Source organism: Homo sapiens, chromosome 2, assembly GCF_000001405.40.
Source record: "Homo sapiens chromosome 2, GRCh38.p14 Primary Assembly".
NCBI lineage: Eukaryota > Metazoa > Chordata > Mammalia > Primates > Hominidae > Homo > Homo sapiens.
Genome location: NC_000002.12, coordinates 96,600,732 through 96,628,469, shown reverse-complemented (window position 1 = coordinate 96,628,469; position 27,738 = coordinate 96,600,732). Strand labels below are relative to the sequence as shown.

Here is a 27,738-nt window from a genome sequence, read left to right as displayed (position 1 = left end):
CCATGTTGCCTAGGCTGGTCTCAAACTCCTGGCTCAAGTGGTCTGCCCACCTTTGCCTCCCAAAGTGCTAGGATTATAGGTGTGAGCCACTGCACTTGGCTGAGTTTCTTAATTTATAAGGAGAGATATAACTGCAAAGCATAAGAGACACTGGGGTGGCCTGGCCAGAGTGTCTGTTCTCAGCAGGAAAGTCTGGAAAACCATTTTATTTCAGAAGTGAATAGATGAGTGGAGAGTCTACACAGGAGGCACAGCAGAATAGCTGGATGTACACATCTTTCCTCTAGGCAAGATGAGTCCACGGAATAGGCCAGTGTGCACCTTCTCCTGCCTGTCCTTTAGAGAAACACTGACAGATTCTTGTCTTTGGCTTATCTTTCTCCAGTCTCCTTGTGGACCACCACCCTTCTGTTATGACATTGCCACATTGCCACAGATTGATGTAATCCATTAAAGCTCAATTTATCAGATTATTTGTTTTCTTAGTGTCTGATGAGATTTTGGAGGCCTTCTCTCATTGGCAGCAGGCTTACACACCATCTCTTTTGGTAGGTAACTTTTGTACATAGCCGATTTTATTATTTATGATAACTTATTAGTTTCAGTTTCAGATACCACCATTTTATGACCCTGTCCCTGAATCTGTAGCCTGTTTGGAGCTTGCAGTTCCTTCTGCTCTGATTATAATCATCGTGTTGCCATTCTTTCCCTGACTTGATTGTTAAATTGCTGCTTCCTTTCTTCTTATATAAAGTCATGTAAAATTAGTTTGCCACATCAAGAGCTCCATGAACGGTGTAGGTCGGCTCCCTAGAACTCTGGAGTTCTTTCCCGGAGAGTTTACTGATTGCTCTTTGTCTGTGGAGGCAGAAACTTAATTTCCTTGTTAAGAGCTTTTTTCCTCTCTCTTGAATGATTTCAGTAGAAACTGTCTTCAGATAGCTTTGTGTATATAGGCTAGGCGCAGTAGCTCTCGCCTGTAATCCCAGCACTTTGGGAGGCTGAGGCGGGAAGATAATTTGAGGTGAGGAGTTTGAGACCAGCCTGACCAACATAGTGAAACCCCGTCTCTACTAAAAATAGTAAAAATTAGCTGGTGTGGTGGCAAACGCCTGTAATCTCAGCTACTCGGGAGGCTGAGGCAGGAGAATCTCTTGAACCTGGAAGGCAGAGGTTGCAGTGAGCCGAGATCGTGCCACTGCACTCCAGCCCGGGCAACAGAGCAAGACTCCGTCTCAAAAAAAAAAAAGAAGCATGTTCCTCCCTTCCCTGCCCCTGACTCTGGCTTTCTTTATTAATGGCTGATATTTTGTGAAATGGTTTAAATATTACTACCTTATTTAATTGTCTGCATTAGTGGTTGTCTAACTATGACAGTGGGCTGATTTAAATTTGGCCCATTGCTTGTTTTTGTGTGGAATGATTTTTACATTTTTAAATAGTTGCAAAAAAATTAATACTGTTTCATGACACATGAAATTAAAATTTCGGTGTGCATAAGCTTTTATTGAGATACAGTCATATTCATTAGGTATTATCCATGGCTGCTTTTGCAGTAAAGCCACAAAATTGAATAGTGGCAGAAGCCATATGGCCTGGAAACCCTAAAACATTTTCTGTCCGGCCTCTTATAGAAAAAGTGAGCTTCCTGGGTCATGTTCTTGTGTCTGCGTGCCATGGCATGTGACTTAGAGGACCTTTGAAAATGATTTCTATTTGCTGGCATAGTGATGTAGTCCTGAAGATGTTGGGCCAGCTTTTTTTTCCCTCCAGATGTTTGTCAAATGTGAAGTTTCATTAGTTGCATAGCTTTTGAAAGACATTTAATAAAATTTTCCTGACACATGATACTTCTCAGAATTGCTCAAATGGATTTTAGGACATTTCCAACATTTTAGTGAAAGAATGTAGTAGTATCCAAAAGCAGGCTTTCTTATCTTAGAAATCAGAACTTCTGAATTCCAGCCAAAAACACCCCATTTTCCTTTTCTGAGCCTTCTTTAGTTTTATATTCAATATTGTATGTATCTGTATAAATCTTAGGTTGGATGTTTGAAATTTTAAGTCCAAGGTCTTTGAGTTATCGTCCCTCCTTCCCCTCCCCCACCCTCTTTATTTCCCCTTCCTTCATTCCTTCCCTTCTTCTAGTGTTTAGACAAAGAATTTTATAATCTGAAAAAGGAAAGTATGACTGTTGAGTTTATCTGATGTACTTTGTGTCTCCTTGTTTGACTTCTGGTTAAAAAAAAATCCTTTAGATATTTTAATGTTGAATTAATTAGTCTTCTTTGAAACAGTATCCAAAATAATGATTACCTTTGAAAATACCAGATATTTTCAGGACCAATGTTATATTTTGGCTGCTTTGAATAGAATGAGCCAGAGGTCAGCATATCATTCAGGTTCAGTCAGAGCAGGGAGAACAAAAGATTTTCTGATCTCATCTAAGAAAGGAAGAAAAGACATTTTTGCCCTCATGAAAATTGAATAGGCGGGTGGGGCACGGGGTGGGGAGTGCCAGTTGGCTCACCACAGTTCCCATCAGCTATTTGACTGTTTAGGCTTGTATTTAAAATTCTGTCTCCTGTTTTTAAAATTTTTGCTAATTATATCTCTTGCATGCTCTTTATCTTAATCTTGGTTTAGATCATTTTTTTTCTGCCCACTTAATTTTCTAGCCTCCCACGAAGCTGACAAAATATAGAGATCATGTTTCAATTCTTGGAGTCACTTTGTTATATATCCAGCAGCAATCCTAAGAACTTTTTCTGGGATTTTGGACTCTCAACGTTGTGGTTTTAAAATTTAATTTCAGCTGTCATTGGTGTATGGTAATAATTTCTAAATAGCTTTCTAACCCTCTGCATCTTGCATTCACATCATTTTCCTTACTCCCATAATTTTGGATTGCAGAATTAATACAGAGTAAGAAAAACAAATAGGGAAAGCATCATTATGTAATAAAAACAGGATAATTTTGGAAATGCTGTTGATATTTCATAAATAAATTATACCTTATTCTCTGTTGTTGGAATTAAAGTTTGCAACGTGATCAATAGGCTTTGAGAAAGCTCCAGAGATTGTTGAACATGAAAAATTGTATTCGTTGCTTAACCTGGTTGATTATAAATTAGCATGATTGCTAGAGGTAAGGCTGCAGTATACTACTACTTTCAAGATGCTACAGGTCCTTTATACCTATTACTTTCAAAGAACTGGAAATCTAGAGATTTTTGTTTTTTTGGTTTTGTTTTGTTTTTGAGATGGAGTCTCATTCTGTCACCCAGGCTGGAGTACAGTGGGGCGATCCCAGCTAACTGCAACCTCTGCCTCCTGGGTTCAGGCGATTCTCCTCTCTCAGCCTCCCGAGTAGCTGGGGTTACAGGCTCGTACCACCATGCCCAGCTAAGTTTTATATTTTTAGTAGAGACGGGGTTTCGCCATGTTAGCCACGCTGGTCTTGACCTCCTTTCTGACCTCAGGTGATCCGCCCTCCTTGGCCTCCCAAAGTGCTGGGATTACAGGCATGAGCCACCATTCCTGGCCTTATCCAGAGATTATAACACAGATAGCCTTTGGTTATTTCCATTTGAAGAAAATTATCCTACAGAGATACTTGTATGAGTATATAAAATATAGATAGATAGGGCTGGGCATGGTGACTTCATACCTGTAATCCCAGCACTTTGGGAGGCTGAGGTGGGCAGATCACTTGAGGTCAGGAGTTTGAGACCGGCCTGGCCAACATGGTGAAACCTCGCCTCTACTAAAAATATAAAAATTAGCTGGGCGTGGTGGCGGGCACCTGTAGTCCTAGCTACTCTGGAGGCTGAGGCAGGAGAATCACTTGAACCTGGGAGGCAGAGGTTACAGTGAGCCGAGATCACGCCATTGCGCTCCAGCCTGGACGACAGAGCAAGACTGTCTCAACAACAAGAAGAATTAATAATAAAATATAGATAGATATGTATGTATATATTTGAGGAAGGGAGGGGTGGTCACTGCAGTGGCTTATAAATTGCAATAAAAAATGCACAACCTAAATGTCCACAAATAAGGTAGAACTTACTTAGCCTTTGAAAACAAAGAGGTGTATTAACATGGAGATATATCCATGTTTCCAGAGAGCTTTTTCAAATGACTTGTAAGCATCCTCTGTCTCCTCCTACCACCATCAAATTCTCAAGCCCACCTGAGAATCACTGTACATAAGAGAGCTACTACTCTTGTGAGTCTGCTGTGCATCTAAGTAATGGACAGAAAACAGGATAATGAACCAGTGGGGCTGGAGCTTCCGGTCTCAACAAACCTTCCCAGTTCCAAGGCATCCTGAGTCCCAACATTGAGTTGAGGCTTTCATCCCTTCAGCTTTGAAGTCCAGAATCTCTGAATATCAAACCACAAAAACTGGATCCTGATGAAGTAGCAGAGATTAAGCCAAGATAACTAGGGAGGAATAAGAAACAGGACAATTCCAAGAAACCTCAGACTGCTTCTAGTACCCCCAAAAGGGGGTTACAAAAGGATGGGTGGCTTTGGCAGTTAAGAGGGGATTTAGCTCTAGCAAGGAAAGCTTCTGAAGATGGAGGGCGCTTCTGAAGAAGACAGTCATCCCATTTTGTTTCTCTAATCTCGGATTTCGACTGCTCTCAACTTTTGCTGCTGTCAGTAATCATAGCTAACCTGAATTTTTTTTTATTGTTAGAAGGAACTTAGAGGTAATCTAGCTGTATCTATTTTATGGACAAGAAGACTCAGGGCACATAGCTCTTTATTAGAGGGTGGGATAGAACCCTTGTCCCTAGGTAGGGTTCTCCTGGATCCTGTAACTGTGGTTAAGTTGTAAAACTGGAGATGTGGTAGGTGGAGATTTTATTTTACAGAAGGAAAAGGAGTTGGACCATTGTTTTCCTCCTTTCTAGAGGGTATTTGCTCTATCCAGGGACATTTAGATAGTTGTACAAAGTGAATAACAAAGGGTAATTTGTCCTCCATCTGCATACTCACTGGGCCATACTGTTGGTGTTCCTAGAACAATGACCTGTAGAAATTAGAGTATCTTGTGGGGTGGGATATGATGGAAAGGATGCTGGTCTCTTACGAAGCCAGAGAAATTGAGATTGTTGATGTTTCAAGCAGCATTCTTGCAGTTTGACTGTCTTGGTATGGCGAAAGACATAAATCATGTGCCTGTGTTCCTCTTTGCTCCTCCGCATTAATATGGTATGGAGTCTGAGGGTTTGGATAGGGACCTGGCTGTTTACAGAACTTAGAATGCAGTGTGCACACAATTCATCCATTTATTTATTCAGCAGATGTTTAATTCCCCAGTATTTGTGAGGCTCTGTTTTATGTGCTGGGGATATAGCACTTAAAACTAGCAAAAGTCCTGGCCATCTTGGCCTTTTACACCCTGGCAGAGAGAAACAAACTAAACAAATAAATAGCATGGATAGAATATGAGGTAGTGGTATGGCTGGAAAGCAGTTTAGTGAATCCTAGGGTAAGACTGGAGGGTTACAGTGTTAAATAGGGATAGGTCAGAGCAAGCCTCAGCAGAAGGTGACATTTGAGCAACAACCTGAAGGAGATGAGAGAGGGAGCCATTGTTTCAGGTTGGCGTAATGAAGGGCAGGGCCCTGGTCTGTGATGCAGGAGCATGCCTGTTGTGTGTGCAAGGGCAGGGGAGTAGAGGGTGCTGTGAGGGAAGGCGGCGTGACTGAAGTAAGTGAGGATCAGTCATGGATGATAAGATCTGAAAGACATGGAGTCCATGCAGCCCATTGCAAGGACTTTGGCTTTTAGCTGATTGAACTGGGGCCACTGAAGGACTTTGAGCAAAGGAGTGACATGATCTGACTTAGGTTTTTCAATTAATTTTTCCAAATTGGCTTTTCCAAAAGGTTGTACTAATTTATATTTCCATCAACAGAATACAGAGAGAGTTCTTTTGTACCCTCACAACAACAGAGAATTATTAAATTCTTAATTTTTACCCATTTGATAGGTGAAAAATAATACTTTATTAATTTGCATTTGTTGGTTCTTTTTTTTTTTTTTGAGACGAGGTCTTGTTCTGTCGCCCCGTGGCATGATCATACCTCACTACAGCCTTGATATCCTAGACTCAAGCCATCCTCCAGCCTCAGCCTCCTGAATAGCTGGAACTTTGGGCACCTGCCACTATGCCTGGCTAATTTTTTGATTTTCAGTAGACAAGGTCTCACTTTGTTGCCCAAGCTGGTCTCAAACTCCTGAGCCCAAGCTGTCCTCCTGCCTCAGCCTCCCAAAGTGCTGGGATTATAGGCGTGAGCCACTTTGCCTGGCTGCATTTGTTTAATTTTTTTTTTTTTTTTGAGCTGGAGTCTCTCTCTGTTGCCCAGGCTGGAGTGCAATGGCACTGTCTCAGCTCACTGCAACCTCCGCCTCCCAGGTTCAAGCAATTCTTTTGCCTCGGCCTCCCAAGTAGCTGGGACTACAGGCGTGTGCCACCACACCCGGCTAAGTTTTGTATTTTTAGTAGAGACAGGGTTTCACTGTGTTGGCCAGGCTGGTCTCGAACTCCTGACCTTGTGATCCGCCTGCCTTGGCCTCCTGAAGTGCAGGGATTACAGGCGTGAGCCACCACGCCCAGCCTGTTTAATTTTGAAGTAGAGTTGACTTTACTTCTTTTGTGACCTGCCTTTTTGTGTTCTTTGACCTTTGAGTATTTCATCTTTTTCTTATTAATTTTCTAGAGCCTCTTTCTATTTTAATGAAATGGCAGTCATTTTCCCATTGTGTTTTGACCTTGTTTATACTTTTTAAATTTTTTTTGTTTTTTATTTTTTGAGAGACATGTTGCCCTGGCTGGACTTGAACTTCTGGACTCCTCCTGCCTCAGCCTCCCAAGTATCTGGAACTACAGGCACATGCTACCACGCCTGGCTTAAAGTTTGAATTTTTTTTTTTTTTTCAAGACAGAGTCTCACTCTGTCACCCAGGCTGGAGTGCAGTGGCGCAATCTCGGCTCACTGCAACCTCTGCCTCCTGGATTCAAGTGCTTCTTCTGCCTCAGCCTCCGGAGTAGCTGGGACTACAGGCGCATGCCACCACGCCCAGCTAATTTTTGTATTTTTAGTAGAGATGGGGTTTCACCATATTGGCCAGGCTGGTCTTGAACTCCTGATCTCGTGATCCACCCACCTTGGCCTCCCAAAGTGCTGGGATTACAGACTCCTGGCCAAAGTTTGAAATTTTTATGTAGTTACATTTCTCTTTCTTCCTTTTATGTCTTCTTTTTCTTCCATCTGAAATTTGATGTAGAATGATATGTAGGGATCAGATTTTCTTTTTCCAGTTGTGGTTGTCTCAGCCCTACATTTAGGGACTTTATCCAGACTGATTTGAAATGCTACCTTGATCCCATTCCAGGGTCTCATTTGGGTGTAGCACCCAGGTAATTTTTTATTTTTATTTTTATTTTTTTTGAGACAAGGCCTCACTGTCACTGAAGCTTTGAGTGCAGTGGCATGATCACGGCTCACTGCAGCCTCAACCTCCTGGGCTCAAGCGATTCTCCCACCTCAGGCTCCCGAGTAGCTGGGGCTACAGGCACGCACCACCATGCCCAGCTAATTTTTGTATTTTTTTTAGAGATGGGGTTTTGCCATTTGCACAGACTGGTCTTGAATTCCTGGACTCAAGCGATCCACTCCACTTGGCCTCCCAAAGTGCTGGGATTATAGGCGTGAAGCACTGCGCCTGGCCACCATCAGCTTTTTTTTAAGGCAGGGAGAATAGGAAAACACATATTAATAGAGCATCTTCAATTGCCTTTCTTTTGGTATCTTTAGGAAGGTCACTAGCCAGAGTTAGAGCATCTGAGTAATTAAGATTGCTGGGAGTGGGGTGAAGGGGGACAATAATAAGCTCCATATCACTAAACTGGGTGTGATGAGGTGGAGATAAGAACAGTAGGATAGATGTCTGCAACACACAAAGCCTCAGTAAGTAATAGGTAAGCAATAAGCAATAAGGTAGATGTGTGAATACCAGTGCCGTATGCTGGGATGATAACATATTAGCTTATATGGAGCAGGCCTCTCAAAAATAAATTTGCTAATTGTGTGGCATATAGAAAAAATACAAAAAATATATATGGAAAAGAGAGATTAGTGTGGGGTAGAATATTGAGGAGTGGAAGAATAGCCTCTTTATTGGTTATATTTCTGCTATATTTTTGTTCTTAAGCCTAGTTTAAATAGAATTCTTACCTCAGTCTGAGATTTTAGTACATTAAAATGCTTGCTGATCCTGTCTGCCTTTTTGTGTGAAATATAAAACTTATGAAATTCAAATATGTCGTCTGTTCAGTGGTGCTGTGCGTTTATTTATGATTGGAATAATTTTAGCTACTAAGTAAGTAATTAGCTTTGCTAGCCTGAAAGACTTTTTTCATGACTAGTCTTGACTTGTACTGTGTATATTATTGTGTGTATGTGTGTATTATTAATACAAGTGTGTGCTGTGACGATTTGATTTGGTAGGATTGAGACCAGAAGAATCTAGGTCTTGTGTTTTAGGTCAGTGGTCTTAGACTAAGCTACTTCGTTTTACTGTTCCCTAGCAGAGACATAAAACTATGGCATAATCTTCTTTATATGGTGTACATACATGGGGAGCGTCCCCAGGGTTTGACTATAATTCCTCAGAGTTTCCCTTATAGGACTGGCTGGACAATGGCCCAGAACAAGCTATTCAACAAGATCCTCAAAGCCCTGCAGTCTGACCGGCTTGCCCGCTTGGCCAACGAAGGGGTAAGACACCAGCAATCCGCCCACAGTGGGCTCTTCGTAGTTCAGGCCTCACTGGCTGACTGACTTGTCCCCCTGCTTGTTAACCAGGTAGTCCTCATGTTTTATTACTTCCACTTACATCCTTCAGGCTTGTAATGAGCCAGTGCTGCGCCGTGTTGCTGTGGACAAGTGTGCAAGGAGAGTGCGGCAGGCTCTGGCAAGTGTGAGCTGGGATACCAAGCTGATCCAGTGGCTGCACACCACCCTTGTGGAGACCTTGAGTCTGCCCATGCTGGCAGCCTACCTGGATGCTTTGCAGACGCTGAAGGGGAAGGTAAGGCTGTGATTGGGGTCTGCCCTGTCCTAGGGATAGCCATCCTCCCCTGTGGGTTCAGGATGTGGGGTTAGGCAAAGTAATTATCTGGTCGGTCTGGAGTGCATGGCCAAAACTAATGGGTTTGGTACTAAAATTGGGAGACAGGGTATCATTTCACATTTGTGTCTGGTGTAAACGTTTTCAGCCCTGCTGGCTCCAGGATGAGGTATGGGGCCTGAAAACCAGAGTATACATTTAGCCTTCCTAGCCTTGCAGCTTGTGGTTTGAGTCATGGCTGAATTGAATTATCATGAAGGAGACGAAGGGTTTACCAGGGAAGAGTTTGTTGAGAAAGGTGACAGAAGCAGACCCTTGGTGCTCGGAGCACTGGGAGATTGCAGAGCAGGAACGTGCCGTGATGCCTTCAATTCTGCTCCCCAGGGCATGAGCCTTTAGTAGCAACACTTAGACTTTTATAATTCAGTACAAACATATCATTATAGTTCCCTGCTTTCTTACTTAGTATTGCACAAAGTTAAACTGTTTTTCTTGGTGATTCCAGTGATTGCATCAGGCTATCGTCAATGTGGTAGAATGCGGATGCTGGAGGCAGATTGCCTGGCTGATCTCAGCTTTGTTACTGATTAGCTGTGTAAGCTTGGACTGGTGTCTCATCTCTAAAATGTGGCTGATAATAATAGCTATCTAGGATTTTTATGAAAATTAAATTAGTTAATTCAGGTAGGGGGCTTAACACAAAATTGGGCACATAGTAAGCAGTGAGCCCACAGTAATTATTATTACTAATATTAACAGTTATTTAAGTAGTACCCTCATAGGTTCTTGAAATATTTGGGGTGTTTTGCTCCAATACAAAATGGCCTCACGGCCGGGCATAGTAGCTCATGCCTATTATCCTAGCACTTCGGGAGGCTGAGGCAGGAGGATCGCTTTAGCTCAGGAGTTTGAGACCAGCCTGAGCAACATAGCAAGACCTTGTCTCTACTAAAAATAAAATAATTAGCCAGGCATGGTGGCACACGTCTGTAGTCCCAGCTAGTTAGGAGGCTGGTGGGAGGAGGCTGTAGTGAGTTCAGTCCCACCACTGCACTCCAGCCTGGGTGACAGAGGGAGTCCCTGTCTCTAAGAAAGAGAGAGAGAGAGAAGAGAAAGAACCAAATCAATCCAAGTTGTCTGAGGCCTTTTTTTTTTTTCTTTGGAGACAGGATCTTCCTCTCTCACTCAGGCTGGAGTGCAGTGGCACTATCATTGCTTGCTATAACTTCGAACTCCTGGGCTCAAGCAATCCGTCTGCCTCAGCCTCCCAAGTACTGGGACTAGAGGTGTGTGCTACCACCACACCCAGCAAAGAAATTTTTTTTTTTTTTTTTTTTGAGACAAAGTCTCACTCTGTCGCCCAGGCTGGAATGCAGTGGCACGATCTCGGCTCACTGCAACTTCTGCCTCCTGGGTTGAAGCAATTCTGCCTCAGCCTCCTGAGTAGCTGAGACTACAGGCGTGTGCCACCCCGCCCAGCTAATTTTTTTTGTATTTTTAGTAGAGATAGGGTTTCACCATGTCTCGATCTCCTGACCTCGTGATCCGCCCGCCTCGGCCTCCCAAAGTGCTGGGATTACAGGCGTGAGCTGCCGTGCCCTGCCACACCCAGCTAAATTTTTAATTTTTTTGTAGAGACGGTCTTGCTATAGGCTCGTCTTGAATTCCTGGCCTCAAGCAGTCCTCCCATCTTGTCCTCCCAAATTGCTGGGATTACAGGCATAAGCATGATTCAGTTTTTGACACTTTTTTTTTTTTTTTTAATAGTTTTACTTTCTGCTTCACAGGAAGCTGGCTCATCTTGCTGCTGTAAGTTGCCTGGCCAACACGTTCCCTCAGCCACATCCCCAAAACTTGCAGACTCATTGTTTCTTATGTGTTTTTAAGTTAAAGGGTGCCAAGTTTGTTAGAAGACTGGTTTAGTGCTGAAATAAAACTCAGGACTAGATACATTAATGATATTCATGGTAGGAAATTTGACACTAGTTTTTTTGTTTAACTAATACTTATTTTGGGCCCTACGTGTGTCAGGTACTGGGGTGAGCAAAACAAAACTGGTCCCTTCTCTGGTGGAGTGTATTTTCTAGTGAAGAAAGAGACAAATGAAAAGGGAGTCCCAGACTTTCCCCTGTACTGCTCCCCTGTAGTAGAAACCCTGGACCCGGGAGGTGAGTGGTGGGCAGGTAGAGTGTGGGGCCCAGACTGGATCCTGGCAGACAGAGAGTGGTGGCCCAGAAGTATCGTAGGCATCTTCACATATGTTCTCCTCAGCATTCTACCTACGGTAAAAGTGTAACATTGGTGAATACACTGTAGGAGATGAGTGTTGGTAGTGGCCAGGGTCTCAGTTCTCTGGTGACCCTGCTTCACTCACTGTGGCTAGCATAATTTCCCTTTAAGGAGGAATTTGTACTGCTGCCCTATTTAAGTTACTGACTGGACATCTCCTGGGTGCATGTCGGATATTATGAGCATGGCAGACCACTGGGGGGACTCCATAGCATGCATAGTTGGGTGTTTTCCTCCCATGCTGCTGGGCCACGGTGTGGGTTGACTGGAATAGTGGAAGGCTCGCTGGTACACCAGTCAGCAAGGGCCTCAGACTCAAGGCAACATCCTCTCTGGGCTGTGCTCTCCGCAGTGGTTCCTCTGCCATCGGACTCTTATTTTCCCATGACTATATTTAGATTCACAACAAATACTTTGGTTGTTTCCCAAAGGATATAAATGATTATAGGATTGTTTTACTTTTAAAGTGCCTGCTGGATGTGAAAGCGCAGGTGGATGGGATCATGCTCTTCACCCAGCTACTTTCACTATTAGATCCATTATGATAAAGAGGGCAGAGAAGGTATAGACCTTAGCCTTTTAATTGGCTGTTGAGAGTGAATGCAATGCTGGAAGGGCCAGGGAAGCTTGGTCTTCCCAGCTCCAAGTGGAAAAGTCAGTATTGATTTTTTATCCCTTGTTGACAGGAAGCAAGTGTCAAGGCTTTTTGGTTTCAAAGCTATATACTACTGTTAGATAAAGCTTAACCCAGGGTCACATCCTTTGCCTCAAAGTGTTGAGTGGCTCACAGTTCTAGAGTGAGTTACAAAGAACATGAAGATCCTTTGCAGTTTGGTCTTATCCTTTGCGGTTTGGTCCTATCCTTCCTACTGGCTTTTTACATCCTCCTCCTTCCTTACTTGCATCCTTGACTTTTGTCCATCTGTGCCTGGAATAAGCTCTACACATTCTTGCCTCTTGCTGGTGTCTCTGATGGGAAGGCTTTTCTCTCATCTTCTGTTGGAATCCTGCCTGTTCCAAAGAGCCTGTCTCATTTCACATGCTGTATCTTTAGATGAAAATTGCCTCTTAACTTCTTCTCCATTGGGTGGTTTGAATCATAGCAGTTTGGGCTTCTGTTTCTTTCATGGCAGTTATCGGTCTTTCCCTATTCCTGTCCCCCACCATTATTTGTGTGTTTGTCTTCCTTACCTCTTGTAGATTAAATTCCTCTGCAGTACTAGCCTGGTACCTTGTAAAAGCAGTTGCACGAATATTTCTTTCCTGAGTTAAACTGAGAAAGTCTAATGGTTATAATTCTCTAATTTCTCATACAGAAATCCTTTTAGTGTCCCTGTTTTTAAATTAAGAGCAACTTATCTTCTGCTATTTTTGGAGTTTTACAACTTGCATCAAACCGTAGTACTTTTTATTCTCCAATTTTTCAAAACCTTTTTCTTTCTCTGAAAACTGCCTCTAATATTTAAACATTTTTCCTTTCCCCTAGGTCATTTTGACCTTTTGTGGGTAGCATGGAATTCGCAGATATTTCTTCTCAGTGTAAGCATCAACATGTCTGAAACCTATATTTGCACATCTGTAATGTCACATTTCTGGTAGATAGTAAAAAACAGACATGAGATAAAGTACACTGTATATAGTATAGCAGGATATATATTTTTGTACATAATAACAGATTTATTTAGTACACCACAGCTTGAAGGCAGTACTCTAGAAGAAAATGGAGATTTAAAAATATTATAAAATCAACTGATACTCATTGAGGAAATTTAGGGAACATAGAAATCTGTAAAGGAAAAAGTCACCCATAAACTCCATAGAGATCATTATTAACATTTTGTCTTTTTTTTTTTTTTTTTTTTTTTGAGACAGTCTCCCTCTGTTTCCCAGGCTGGAGTGCGGTGGCACACTCTTGGCTCACTGCAACCTCTGCCTCCTGGGTTCAAGCGATTCTCGTGTCTCAGCTTCCTGAGTAGCTGGGACTACAGGTGTGCAGCATATTTTCTTTAAAATATGATTCTATTATATTCATTGTTTAGAAATCTGTTTTATCCCACTTAATGTATCTTTTTTTATTTTTTTAATTTTATTATTATACTTTAAGTTTTAGGGTACATGTGCACAACGTGCAGGTTTGTTACATATGTATACGTGTGCCATGTTGGTGTGCTGCACCCATTAACTCGTCATTTAGCATTAGGGGAGTAGAGATAATTTTTTTCTTTTTTTCTTTCTTTCTTTTTTTTTTTTTTCTTTTTTTTGAGAAGAGTCTCACTCTGTTGCCTAGGCTGGAGTGCAGTGTCATGACCTTGGCTCACCACAACCTCCACCTCCCGGGTTCAGGTGATTCTCGGACCTCAGCTTCCCAAGTAGCTGGGATTACTGGTGTGCGCCACCACACCTGGCTAATTTTTGTATTTTTAGTGGAGACAGGGTTTCACCATGTTGGCCAGGCTTATCTCGAACTCCTGACCTCAAGTGATCTGCCCACCTTGGCTTCTCAAAGTGCTGGGATTACAGGCATGAGTCGCTGAGCCCAGCTTTGAGTAGAGATAATCTTTATATTTTCTATTTTACCTGTAACATTTTAGCAAAATTATTTCTGTGTGTTATTATATATCCTTGTAAATATTTGAAAGCTGGGTGCAGTGGCTGATGCCTTTAATCCCAGCACTTGAGGAGGCTGAGGCGGGTGGATCATTTGAGGTCAGGAGTTCAAGACCATCCTGACCAATATGGTGAAACTCCATCTCTACTAGAAATACAAAAAATTAGCTGGGTATGGTGGTGCACGCCTGTAATCTCAGCTACTTGGGAGGCTGAGAAACAAGAAATCGCTTGAACCCGGGAGGCAGAGGTGGCAGTGAGCCAAGATCAGGCCACTGCACTCTAGCCTGGGCGACAGAGCGAGACTTTGTCTCAATAAATAAATAAATTCTTGTAAATATTCGAAAATAATCTTTAATATCCAATTAGGTAGATAGTTGACTAAACTACTCCCTTACATATGCACATATATATTAAATTGTTTTTACTTTATTATTATTCATAGTTAATTTGTCTCTGTGCATAATTGTCCCCATCCTTTTGTGTGTGTTTTTGTTTCTGATACGTTTTCTTTGGAAAGGTTCTCAGAAGTAGAAACATTTGGAAAAGGGATGGGAATACATTTAAGTCCCTTGCTGCATATCCAGACTGCTTTCCAAAGGATTGTACACATTCACTTTTCATGGTGGGAGCATACTTTTCACCCGCTTATTTATATATATTCTTGATCCTTAGGAGGTTTTCAGAGGCTTAGTTGAAGTCTGTCTATGGCTTATAGTGGGGCTCTGTTCTTCTGCTTGATTGCTGGTGGTGGAAGGTCTCCTGCTTTACACTGGAGTCATCTTTGCTCTTTCTTCTTTGTAGATCCCAACCTTGATTGACCGGATGCTTGTGTCATCCAACACAAAGACTGGGGCTGCAGGAGCTGAGGCCTTGTCTCTCCTACTGAAGAGGCCCTGGGACCCTGCTGTGGGTGTGCTTTCTCATAACAAACCAGTAAGTTGGATGGCTCAGGACTTAACAATGGTACATAAAAATTTTAGACTCAAGCCTTAGAACCTTGGCAGGAGGATAAATGGCTTCTTTAACTATTTATTATTATTATTATTTTTTGAGACAGAATCTTGCTCTGTTACCCAGGCTAGAGTGCAGTGGCACGATCTCAGCTTACTGCAACCTCCACCTCCTGGGTTCAGGCAATTCTCCTGCCTCAGACTCCTGAGGAGCTGAGATTACAGGCATGCACCACCATGCCCAGCTAATTTTCAGTAGTGACAGGATTTCACCATGTTGGCCAGGCTGGTCTCAAACTCCTAATCTCAGGTGATCCACTTGCCTTGGCCTCCCAAAGTGCTGGGATTGCAGGTGTGAGCCAGCATGACTGGCCAGCTTCTTTAACTATTATTAATAATTTATTTTACATAGTGCTTAACATAATTTCACAAGCAAAGGAGCATTGGTTGGGATGAGAAAGGTATTGGGATACTTGGAATTTCATGAAAGGACACTTCTCACTCACTGGTTTTTGGGTGGGATTCTTCCTCTTTAGAGCAAACTCCCTGGCTCTCCGCTGATTCTCATCGCCTCCTCTGGTCCCTCCAGCTCTGTGTTTCCCACTTCACGCCGCCACCGCTTCTGGCAATCTCAGCTGTCCTGCTTGGGCAAGGTATGTGTGGGGGCAAGAGGAACTCCTTCCTGGCAGGGAATATAGTCTTGGAGGATTGAGGAGAAGAATATGTGGGAGGAGGTCAAAATGGGTAACTTGAATGTGGAGCCTCCTCTAACCCTTCTTTCATGTGGAGCCTCCTCTAATCCTTCTTTCATGTGGAATTCCAAGGTTTTGGGTTTAGGTTAGGTTAAACAGAATTGAAAGATTTGAAACTTACCTCTGCTGGTGTGGGGGCTACTTCTTTCCTTCAGGTCATCCCTGTAGCCACCCATCTGCTGAACAATGGCAGTGGGGTAGGAGTTCTACAGTGTCTCGAGCATATGATTGGGGCAGTGAGAAGCAAAGTGCTGGAGGTGAGAATGCCCGTATTTCAGTACATTGTGGCATACCCAGCATTCTGGGGTTGTTCTGCACCTATCTTTGGCCTCCTGTCTTACTGTCTTCTTTCTCTTCCCATGAAGATTCACAGCCATTTCCCACACAAACCCATTATCTTGATTGGCTGGAACACAGGAGCTTTGGTGGCCTGTCATGTAAGTAATTTCTATCTTATTTGGAGGTTGTCCTGGGATGGAATACCACTAATCATAGCTACCATTGAGTCCTTTACTGTGTGTCAGGCTCTGCGCTAGATACTTTACCTATATAATTACATTTTAAACTGTAGAAGACAAATTTTATTAAAACAATTTTTAATTTATTTTGGAAAACTTTAAGCAGAAACAAAAGCAGGTGTAGTATAATAAACCCCCGGATCCTCACCCAGCTTTACCAGTGATCAACTCTTGGCTGGGCTTGTTTCATCTCACCCTGCTCATTTTCTTTCTCCCCTAGATTGTTTTGAAGAAAATCCCAAATATAATAGCATTTTCACATACACACACACACACACACACACACACACACACACATATGGGTATATATCTGTGGAAAAAAAAAAAAGATCCCTTTTTTTCTCTAAACATAAGTACCATACTGTTCTCCCACCTAAAAAACAACAGTAATTGTAGCTGGCAAATATTAATAGCTCTGGAATTTGATGCTGTGTTCATTTCAGTCTTTTTCCAAGACATCAAGGAATCTTTTCGTATTTTACATATATTTGTATGTCTGTCAGTTTGTGTAAGTGTCCCTCATGTCCAAACCCTTAATTTTGCTTCATGCAGTCCAATCAAGTGTGATAGCTATGAGAGGAAGAAGGTCCCCATAGTCCCTGCTCCCAGGGTGTTAGGCCTTAGCAGTTTGCTCCAAGAAATCTAGGCTGTCTGGTAGCTATCCATTAAGTTCAATAGAGAGAATTTTTTTTCACTTAAGGGTTAATGGCAACATTGTGTTCTCTTGACTATATTTACTATTTGTGGAGAAAAATGGAGCAGGAGGGCTCTAGTTGAGGGGGTTGACAGGGTAGGAATACTGAACCTTCTATCCTATGGTTCAGCCACCTGCTGGGGTCCTCTTAGGGCCCCAGTTCTCTAGGTAGTGGCTGCTTATGGAATGACATACCTTGTGTCTTGTGCTCTTACTGCTGCCATTGTGGCAGAAGATGCACCCGGATATTAGGACAGGAGAGGAAGAGGTGAGACTGTCTGGTGGGTCTGGACCACTCCTGGATTCTGGGTAGGCTGAGGTGCCATGAACTCAGTTGACGTTTAGACAAACTGTTCTGTTATTTACAGGTGTCAGTAATGGAGTATGTCACTGCAGTTGTCTGCCTTGGGTTTCCTCTGCTTACTGTGGATGGCCCCAGAGGGGTAAGAATGTGGTAAAGCTGAGTGCTGGGTCATTGGCAGTGGGAGCGCGAGTGTGCATGCCTTGTCCAAGCTGATGCTGAGGCTGACTGCAGTTGCATGGCTGATCCTCCTTAGTGGAGTTTCTGGGTCAGTGCTTTGTGAATATGAAGAAGCCGATTCTAAAACCTATACCTGTTTTAGGATGTAGATGATCCCCTCTTGGATATGAAGACTCCAGTCCTCTTTGTCATTGGTCAGAATTCCCTTCAATGTCACCCTGAAGCCATGGAGGACTTCCGGGAGAAGATTCGAGCTGAGAACAGCTTGGTGGTGGTTGGGGGAGCTGATGACAATCTCAGGTGGGTGGATTCTCCCAGAGCTGCAAGAGAGCTGTGTTACAGTGTTAGAGATAAGCCTGGAAGCTGGCAATGTAACTACAGACCAGTCTGGTTCAGTTAAAAGACAGCATTAGCCGGGCGCGGTGGCTCACGCCTGTAATCCCAGGACTTTGGGAGGCTGAGGCAGGCGGATCACGAGGTCAGGAGATTGAGACCATCCTGGCTAACACGGTGAAACCCCGTCTCTACTAAAAATACAAAAAATTAGCCAGGCCTGGTGTCGGGCGCCTGTAGTCCCAGCTACTCGGGAGGCTGAGGCAGGAGAATGGTGTGAACCCAGAAGGCGGAGCTTGCAGTGAGCCGAGATCCCGCCACTGCACTCCAGCCTGGGTGACAGAGCAAGACTCTGTCTCAAAAAAAAAAAAAAATTAAAAAAAGACAGCATTAAAAAAACCTTTTTTAATATTTGAAATTTCAGATTTATAAAAAGTTATAACACTAGTACAAAACAATTCCTATATACCCTTCACCTGATTTTCTAAATGTTAAACATCTTACATAGCCAAAGTGTAATTCTCAAAATCAAGAAATTAACATCTACATGATACTGTAATTTACAGACTCATGTTTCATCAGTTGTTTCCCTAATGTCATTTTTCTGGTCCAGCATCCAGCCCAGGATCACACTTGGATTTAGTTGCCATGTCTCCTCAGTCTCCTTTAATTTGATAGAGTTCCTCCATCTTTGTCTTTCACGACCTTGAGCTTTTTTTTTTTTTTTTTTTTTTTTTTTTTTGAGGTGGCGCCTGGCTCTGTCGCCTATGCTGGACTGCAGTGGTGCAATCTCAGCTCACTGCAACCTCCGCCTCCTGAGTTCTGGATAGAGTTGATCTATTAAGCTATAGGTATAGGAATTCTGGAGCGGACTGTCCTGGGCACTGTGCTTGGTTTCTTTACATATGTTATTTTGTTTAATCCCCACAACTCCATGAATGGGATGTTATGATTCCCCATTTTGCAGACACGGAAACAGGTTCGGAGAGGTTGCATTACCTGCCTAAGGCTAACATGGCCCTCCTTCTGGGGCTAGAAAATAAACAACCCAGAAAAGAAATACGTTCTTATTTTCATAGGATGCCGTGCAATGTGTAAGAAGTAAACATGTCATCCTTTTTGTTTCTTAGAATAAGCAAAGCAAAGAAGAAATCAGAAGGGTTGACTCAGAGCATGGTGGACAGATGTATTCAGGTAAACAGTTGTTTTGTGTGCTTTTCTCAGCTAGGCTTGCCTTTCTGTAGCCTTTTAGGTTTGGTCTTATTGGTAGTGGTCTCTTTGGCTCTAAGGCCTCCACTGGGGCCTCTGGTAGGTCTCAGTCATAAGCAAAGAAAAGAAAAATGAGAGTGGTGAATTAATGTAAGCAAAGCATCACGGGGGAGAGTGTTGGAAAAGTGGTGGAATGTGACCACCCCAGAGCTCCCCCTGACAGAGGCACTTGCTGGTCTTCTTGAACCACAGTTGCTCAGAAGCCTGGGATTTGCGCCAGACCTTGTTTGAGTGGGGAAGGACTGGCACATGCGGATGCCAGAGCTGAGGGAGAATCTGTTTTAGTTGGAAAGTATATGAGAGGTTCCCATTCTCCAGATGAGGACTAAAAGGCCTTGGTTGGCTCCTCTCTACACTAGGATGAGATTGTGGACTTTCTGACTGGAGTGCTCACTCGTGCTGAGGGTCACATGGGCTCTGAACCTCGGGATCAGGATGCTGAGAAGAAGAAGAAGCCCCGCGATGTGGCCCGCAGAGACTTGGCCTTTGAAGTCCCTGAGCGGGGCAGTCGACCTGCCTCCCCAGCTGCCAAGCTGCCCGCCTCACCCTCAGGCTCAGAGGTAGTGTGAGCAGGGAGGGAGCGCTTTTGCTGGGGAATCAGCACCACAGAGTTGGTTCCTTAATTTCCTGGGGATGCCTCTGTCTTATTAGTGCCATGGGCCTGTGAGTTCCTACAAGGGGAATTCCAGAGGGACATGCTGACTCATGGTCAGATCCTAGTAACATTGTCTCATCTCTTGACCTTCTCACCTTACTCAGGATCTCTCCAGTGTGTCCAGCAGCCCCACCTCCAGTCCCAAGACCAAAGTGACCACAGTGACCTCTGCCCAGAAGTCCAGTCAGATTGGAAGTTCTCAGCTGCTGAAGAGACATGTGCAGCGGACAGAAGCTGTGCTGACCCACAAACAAGCTCAAGGTATAGGCACTTGGCCAGTGGCTCCTCTTGGGTCTGTCTTCTGTAGTTCATGTCACATGGCAGTTGCACAGTATTGATATCTATGGCTTTTTTCAGGGGGATGTGAGAGGCGCCCTTTCTCACATTTCTGTGCAGGCAAAATTCAAAATTAATTATTGAAATGAATGCCAAGGCCTCTGAGTTAGTGGGGCTTTGTGATCACTAGTTATAGCTTTGTCTTGCTGTTCTGGGGAGGCTAGGCTTTATGAACATGTATATTGGCCTAAACTTTTTTCTACCTTGCCAGCCACTCCTCCAGTCGGGGCTCTCCAATCATATGTATTGGGTGATTGATTTTATTAATCAGATTCTAGGGTAACTCACCTGGCATCATGCCCTTTCTTTGTTTGACCCTTGAAGCGTTAAGATTCTCACACTGAGACTTTCAGTGAAGTTTATCAGGGTTCTCTGCATACAGGTTTCAGATGAAGCTGGGAAGTATTCCTATAGTCGAAAGTAAGAGTTTGGTGAGCTGCGAGTGCTATGAAAGGAGCTATAGAAAAGGGAGAGTTCATTGGGTAGGGAAAGAAGAAACAGTGGTTCTGTCCCCCTTCCCCCACATTGATCCAGTTGGGTGGCCTTGAGGTAAGGCCTCTTGGGCATTGGTGTTTAACGATGTGTCCAGGAGCATGTCACCTGAGCTTTTCAGGAATAGGGGTGCCTGGGAAGAGGCAGCAGCCAGAGCTGGCTGTCTGGCAGACAGACGTGGAGGGGATAGGAGGCTCATCTGTTTACTTTCCCTGTGTTTCTTTTAGTGGAGCCAAATGATCAGAACCGAAACCCAGACCTCTTGTGAGTTTGCTTATAAGAGTAGTACTAACAAGGAGTAGAAGTGTGAGTGGATGGGAGGAGTTGAGAAATGAGGCCAGGCCCCAAGGGTCTGCGCGGATGCTCTGCCATGGATCTTCATGAGTGGTGGCCAGAGCCAAGTCCCGTGTGGACAGTGTGTCTTTACACTTCTGAAGAAGACAGAGCTGGTGGTCTGCTGTGCTTCTGCAGAGGGTGATTAGTTGAGAATCTAAGGAGTTTGGAAGGCTGATTGGCGAGCTGGGTTTGAAATGGGGATCTAGGGTGTCATGGGGGAGAGTAGCAGCTTTAGAACCCTGGCTTAGCAGAGCTGATGGGCAAACGGGGAATACTAATAGCGAACATATATGGAGTCCTTGCTGTGTGCCATGCCTTCTTCATGGCACTCGCATTGCTGTAGTTTGTTGAGTTTTGGCATGGCCCCATGAGGCAGATAGTACTATTCAGTTTTAGATGCTTCTACAGACTGACTCCGTGGCAGAGTCAGGTTGCCATGCAGTAATTTCAGAAGGAGCCCCTATTGGCCATTTTCTACAACCTTTTTTCTTATTCCCTCTCTTTTTCTCCCTTCTCTGGCTGGCTGTGATTCTGTAATTCTTTCTGATTCATTCCAGCACAGTTTGCTGCTTTTCTGAAACAAAATATGCTGGTGAGGAAAGCTCTTCCTCCTGGCACCTCCTCCTGTCTCTTTGGTGAGTATTACTCTTTCTTGCCTGCTCGTCCACTACATTCTGCTCCTCAACCCCTTATTTATTTTCCATCTCTGCCTCTCATCTGCCTCAGTTTGGTTTCCTCCTGTTCTTTTCTCTCTCTTTCTTTGTATTCTTTTGTTTTGCTGACCCCTTTTGCTTACTCTGTAGTCTTTGCCCTTTTTCCATTCTTTTGTTTGCTTCTCATGGTGTTTTCTTTTTTGTCTCTTAGTGTGGTTCTTTCTTTCACTACGGTCTTGGCTCTGCTGCTTTTTTGTATGTCTGTGGCATTGCCTGAGTCTCAGTTTCCTTGTGTGTTTTTCTCCCTGCCTCCTGTCCTGTGTTTATCTGGTGGCTACAAGCCTACCAGCCACATATCAGCATAGAACCTGAAACTCCTTTCCCCTACACCCTCCTTCCTACTCTGATTTTAGCCAGTGCATTTGTCCCCTAAGCAATCCTTCTAGCTGGTTATGTCCTGACTGTTGCCTCATGCCAGGACCCCTCCTCCCTCCTCATGTGACTGCTACCTTCCTCCCCACACCAGTCTTTGCTTCCCTGTGCTACAAGAGGACTAGGGTGGACTTCTGGGTTTAAAGAGGAGGGAATCTTTGAGGAAGCTTGAAAGATAACCTAAGAGTCCAAAAAGCTTGGCTGTATACATGATGAGCCTGTTTGATTCAGTGGAAGTGGAAGCCCATGTGTGAACAGATGGCCTTTGTCTGTACTAGTACACATGACCTGGGGACTAGGTTGTGACATGGGCCAGTGTTGCCCTGTTACTTTTGGGTGGGAGCCGTGAGGTTGCCTGGTTGAGGTACTCTCTCTCCTAGTAGCTACTCATAGCCAGCTTTTAGTCCTGGTGACACTCCTCTTCATTGCCTCCATTTGGCAAGTGGATCCTCAACTGTGGGCTCTTAGGGCAGGGTGGGACTCTTGAGAGCCTTTGGAAAACTCTACTTTTTAGAGAGGACTGGATGACCTGCTCCTCCATGAGTTCTCATAGAATGTTTGATGTCTCCAACTGTGTGATGATGTGGGGAGGGCTTCAGACAGGAAGATGATCACATTTTTTGAGTCTGAGAAGGACTGTTTACTCATTCTGTTGAATCCTCTATTTTTGTTGTTGTTGCCATTGGCCTTGGCTAGGCAGGGTCAGGATGTCTTCTGTCTTTTAATTCCTACCAACTCAGGGCCCCTTCTCTTCCGATTCCAGTGCAGGATGAGGGATGAGAAGGGTGCCATCCTCTAAGAAGGGCAAAGTGGGGTCCCCCACGGACAGGGCCTGAGTGAAGTGGTCCTGAAGCATGGGCAGTCTCCTTTGAGGGGTGGCCCTGTACGTAGAGTGGTTATCCTGTGTGTTCTACATTCTACACATGGCTGTGTTGGTGCTGGTATTGACTGAGTGTCTGTTGGGATTTTTTGGATTGTGGAGGATCTCAACTCAGCTCCATGTCTTAGTTCCCATTTCATCAGAACCACCAGAGGAAGGAGAGAAAGAGGATCTTAGGGTTCAGCTGAAGCGACACCATCCCTCGAGTCCCCTTCCTGGCAGTAAGACCTCCAAACGACCGAAGATCAAGGTGTCCCTTATCTCCCAAGGGGACACAGCTGGAGGGCCTTGTGCTCCTTCCCAAGGAAGTGCTCCAGAAGGTGAGTTTCTCTTGGTACGTTAAATGAGAACTGAGCTCTCTCAGGTACACAGCATTGCCCTTTGGTGGCCATTCACCAGCATGTCAGCCTTTGCTTTATTTTGAGAGATGCCCGGAGCAAAGAAGACATGAGTCTGTACATGTGGGTAAAGTTGGCATGAGTCCATCTGAATGAGGACCAGGCAGGCAGAATATGAGAGGAAGCTGTGCCATCGTTCAAAGCATCCTATATTTTGTTCTTTTTTTGTTGGCTTCAATTAAAGGTACAGAATATTTCAGGAAGTTTAGAAAATAGAAGGAAAAAATAACCCCAACTCTCCCTACTCTAGCATAGTTCATCTTTTTTCATTTTCCAGTTTTCGTCCGTAATATCTTGCATTTAGCCTAAGCTGTGGAACCTGGAAACATAGAGGCCAAATAGGACTGACCAGGGGCCTTGGGGTTTTCTGTTTTGAAGCTGCAGGTGGGAAGCCCATCACCATGACACTGGGGCAGGCTTCAGCAGGGGCCAAGGAGCTCACAGGACTTCTCACCACAGCCAAGTGAGTGTTTATTGGACCATCTGTGTCTATTCCTTTTTTCCCTTCCCTCTGTTTCTGGTTTATTTAGTGCTTTGGAAAATGATGGATTCTGGATTCTTGTCAGTTTTGGAAATGTGACTTACTTCTGATTGGGATCTTTGTCTTGCTTTTGAGTCAACCCAGAGTTCACTTTTACTTAAGACTCCAAATCGTCCCCTGGCTTTTGCTATAAGTCCTGTAAGTAAGGACTTTTAGAAGACTAGAGGCCAGGTACAGAAAGTGGGACAAAGAAGCTGAAGGTTTTTGGTGTATGTCTGCTGCTGAAAGCCTTGCTGGGCCCCACTCTGTACCCTGCCAGTGTTGCTAGGGCTTGCTGTCCTGTGACCTTTGGATAACAGAGCTCCTTCCTTTGTCTCCAGGTCCAGTTCTTCTGAAGGTGGAGTCTCAGCCAGCCCAGTCCCTTCAGTGGTCTCCAGCAGCACTGCACCCAGTGCCTTGCACACACTGCAGAGCCGCCTGGTGGCCACATCTCCTGGCAGCTCCCTCCCAGGTATCTTGTGGCCCAGCATTCTCCCCTTCCAACACAGAATTTTTGGTCTGCTGCTTCTGGGTGGTCCTGGGAAAGCATCCCTGGAGCTAAATCCATAGGATGGGCCTCTGGGTCTTAGAGTGATCATAGAGGCTTGACGTGAAGCTGGAATTAGCTTGGGCAGAGGGATTCCTTGGCCTTGAATAAATGCAGTGAGTAAATGTCCTGGTCTGCAAGTGAGTAAATGTTCCAGTCTACAGGTGCTGTATCCTCTACTGTAAGGAGAAATAGCCGATAGGACATATATGTATAGTCAGCCTTTCTTATCCACAGGAGATTGGTTCTAGGACCCTCACCACTACCAAAATCCATGGATGCTCAAGTCCCTTATATGAAATTATGTCATACCGTTGGAATTCTATATCCACAGGTTTCTATCCGTGGTTGTTTGAATCTGCAAATCTGCTGTGAAGCTCACAGATAATTGAGAGCTGACTGTGGTTTTACTTTGCTGTTTTAAGCACATCTGCCTGAATAAAACTGGAAATGGTGCTACACTGGGCATTAGCAAAATGAGACATTTTTCTGTCTGTGCTTGTCTCTCTCTTTGTCCTACCCACTAACCCTACTTTGAAAGGCCTGTTGCCTGAGCCCAGCAGGGCCAAGGCATTGCAGAAACCCTCTCCTGGCCAGGCATGGTGACTCACACCTGTAATCCCAACACTTTGGGAGGCCGAGGTGGGTGGATCACCTGAGGTCAGGAGTTTGAGACCAGCCTGGCCAATATGGTGAAACCCCGTTTCTACTAAAAATACAAAAAATTAGCCGGGTGTGGTGGTGGGCACCTGTAATCCCAGCTGCTTGGTAGGCTGAGGCAGGAGAATCGCTTGAACCCAGGAGGTGGAGGTTGCAGTGAGCTGAGATTGTGCCATTGCGCTCCAGCCTGGGCAACGAGAGCGAAACTCCGTCTCAAAAAAAAATAAAATAAAATAAACCCTTTTCCTTTAAGAGAACCTTTCTTATTGCTTTGAGGCTACTTCCTTACTGCTTTGATTGTGTGAGGCGAAGTGAAAGTTGGATATTTATAATTCTTTTGGCTTAAAAAGTTCTTCCCTGGAAAGAAAGGAACAAACTTGGATTTCTCAAAATGGTCTAAAATGTATGACTGATGGTTTGCAGCAGGTGCAGAGCAAGTCCGGGGCAGTGTCTGGCACAGTACCTTTCCTGTGTGGCATCCATTGCGTGTGTGCCTAGTTGGGGAGAGCTTCCTGCCTTCTCTCTGAGGACGGGTGTCCAAGGGCAAGCACCACTGGTGTTTTAGTTGGTGGTGAGGGTGGATGGATGTGGCTGCTCTCGGGATAGTGCAAGTGATTGAGTCTCTACTGATTCCTGCTATGTCCTCTCTTAGGGGCCACATCAGCCAGCAGCCTCCTCCAAGGCCTCAGCTTCAGCTTGCAGGATATCAGCAGCAAGACCTCTGGCCTTCCAGCAAATCCCTCCCCAGGACCAGCCCCACAGGTGCACATCTGCCATCTGCTGGGCTGGGCAGGTGTAGGGAGGAGGCCTCCTCAGCTTAGTTGGTTTTGGCAGGGAAACTAGGTCTGGAGTCAGTGGATCAAGGACAAACAGCCTTCTAGCTACATAGCAGGGAACTTACAAAAGTTAAGGTCTATCATTTACTGTGTGACCTTGGGCAAGTTTCTTGACCACTCTGTTTTTGTTTCTTTGTCTATAAAATGAGGTAATAATAGTACCTCCCTCATAGAGTTGTTATAAGAATGAAATAATATATGCAAAATGCCTGGAAGAGTACCTTGCATGTAGTAGGCACTCAATACATGTTAGCCTTTAATAATATGCTGTGGGCCCTCCAAGCTCGAATGTTGCTGTTGGGCGACAGCTTCTGATCACCTGGGCTTGTGTGTCCCACAGGCCACCAGTGTGAAGTTGCCCACCCCCATGCAGAGCCTGGGTGCCATCACCACGGGCACCAGCACCATTGTCCGTACCATTCCTGTGGCCACCACTCTCTCCTCCTTGGGTGCCACTCCTGGTGGGAAGCCCACAGCCATCCACCAGCTGCTGACCAATGGGGGCCTCGCTAAGTTGGCAAGCAGCCTCCCTGGCCTGGCTCAGATCTCTAACCAAGCATCAGGTGAGTCTCTCATGAGAACTGTGGGGACTCCCAGATCTGGGATCTTTCCCCCAGGACCTTCCCATCTCATGTGGGCAAGGTATGATGTTGAAACCAGTCCCACAGGGTCCTGGCATTGACCTTTGGATTCAGCTGTGTGGACCCATCCCCCAGAGAGGTTGAGAGAACACAGGCTGTTTCCTGTTGCCTTTCAGATTGACTGATAGGGCATAGATGACCCAGCTGGGGAGGAGGCCAAGGGACTGTGTTATGTGGGGGAGAAGCTCTCCAGGAAAGGAAAGCCTCAGTAGAAGGTGGAGAGTGTGACTCAAAAATTCTGCTTCTCTCTCTTTATCTCAGGCTTGAAGGTCCCCACCACCATTACTCTGACACTTCGTGGCCAGCCGAGCAGGATCACTACACTGAGCCCTATGGGCTCAGGAGCAGCCCCATCCGAGGAGTCCTCTTCCCAGGTGCTGCCCTCCAGCTCACAGGTGAGTCTGCCAGGAAGGACTGAGGACATGGGCTTCATTATTGGGAAGTTTAAGACCAGCTGACTGGCTGATTGAAGGGGCTGCCCATGCACTGGACAGACGAGATTCAGATTCAAATTCAAATCTGTATTCTGGAGTTTGTGGCTTTATAATATTGAGCGAATCATGGACATCTTTGAGCTTCCTCTTCTACATCCCTCCCTTGATATTGTGAAGAGTACATATGTTCAAGTGGGTAGCAGTGTCTAGTATTTAATGTTTTTGTTTACTTTTCCTTTCGTTTCATTTTTTTCTCATCCTTGGTTTCATCCTTCAGAGGTTATGAGTAGAGGCTACTTGGCTAATGCTCTTTCTTTGTTTTTATTTTTATTTTTTGAGATGGAGTCTTGCTCTATCGCCCAAGCTGGAGTGCAGGGGTGTGATCTCGGCTCCCTGCAACCTCCACCTCCCCGGTTCAAGCAATTCTCCTGCCTCAGCCTCCCAAGTAACTGGGATTACAGGCGCCCGCCACCATGCCCGGCTACAACAGGGTTTCACTGTGTTGACCAGGCTGGCCTCGTACTCCTGACCTCAAGTGATCTACTTGTCTCGGCCTCTGAAAGTGCTGGGATTACAGGTGTGAGCCACCGCTCCTGGCCCTTTCTTTGTTTTTAAGGACATGGAGACAGAGATATCTCACTATGTTGCCCAAGCTGGCCTTGAACTCCAAGGTTTAAGTGGTCCTCCCGCCTCGGCCCCCAAGTATAATACTCTTTCTTTGACATTGGCTTTCTAGCACTGTGCCTTCCCATATCTTAGCATTTATTGCTGTCTTTTTAGGGCACAGCTAGGTTTTTATAGGTCTCACCCAGGAAGTCATGATTAGTTTCTCTTAGCTGATCTAATTTCCCCTGTGACCTTTTCAAGTCAAA

General features: G+C 44.7%; 1 protein-coding gene across 57 annotated transcripts in view, besides 1 other annotated feature; it reads left to right on the top strand.

Moving 5' to 3' along the window:
- Positions 1-27,738, top strand: part of KANSL3 (KAT8 regulatory NSL complex subunit 3) — a 57,819-nt gene that overhangs the window by 9,843 nt on the left and 20,238 nt on the right. For 13 of the 57 annotated variants that reach the window (NR_047653.2, XM_047445024.1, XM_047445028.1 and 10 more), the window contains 17 exons: positions 8,708-8,798; positions 8,926-9,111; positions 14,851-14,982; positions 15,536-15,652; positions 15,907-16,008; positions 16,117-16,188; positions 17,332-17,406; positions 17,587-17,744; positions 18,908-18,971; positions 19,406-19,606; positions 19,806-19,962; positions 22,959-23,150; positions 23,607-23,691; positions 24,090-24,220; positions 25,608-25,717; positions 26,132-26,354; positions 26,694-26,827. Coding sequence is in view for 46 of the 57 variants with exons in the window: in XM_047445024.1 (XP_047300980.1) it covers positions 8,708-8,798; positions 8,926-9,111; positions 14,851-14,982; positions 15,536-15,652; positions 15,907-16,008; positions 16,117-16,188; positions 17,332-17,406; positions 17,587-17,744; positions 18,908-18,971; positions 19,406-19,606; positions 19,806-19,962; positions 22,959-23,150; positions 23,607-23,691; positions 24,090-24,220; positions 25,608-25,717; positions 26,132-26,354; positions 26,694-26,827 (2,230 nt within the window). In the remaining 11 variants the exon portion in view is untranslated. Of the gene's footprint in view, positions 1-529; positions 549-8,707; positions 8,799-8,925; positions 9,112-12,925; positions 12,979-14,850; positions 14,983-15,535; positions 15,653-15,906; positions 16,009-16,116; positions 16,189-17,331; positions 17,407-17,586; positions 17,745-18,907; positions 18,972-19,405; positions 19,607-19,805; positions 19,963-21,422; positions 21,501-22,932; positions 23,151-23,606; positions 23,692-24,089; positions 24,221-25,607; positions 25,718-26,131; positions 26,355-26,693; positions 26,828-27,738 lie in introns of those variants that run through there. The other 44 variants (XM_047444998.1, NM_001349257.2, NM_001349259.2 and 41 more) reach the window with 23 other exon arrangements.
- Positions 19,281-20,480: an enhancer, noted in NCBI's record as "MED14-independent group 3 enhancer chr2:97273727-97274926 (GRCh37/hg19 assembly coordinates)". NCBI's record gives its function as "activates an origin of replication core promoter dependent on BRD2, BRD4, P300/CBP and CDK7 cofactors, and independent of MED14, by STARR-seq in HCT116 cells {active_cell/tissue: HCT116}" and the evidence as "EXISTENCE:reporter gene assay evidence [ECO:0000049][PMID:35650434]".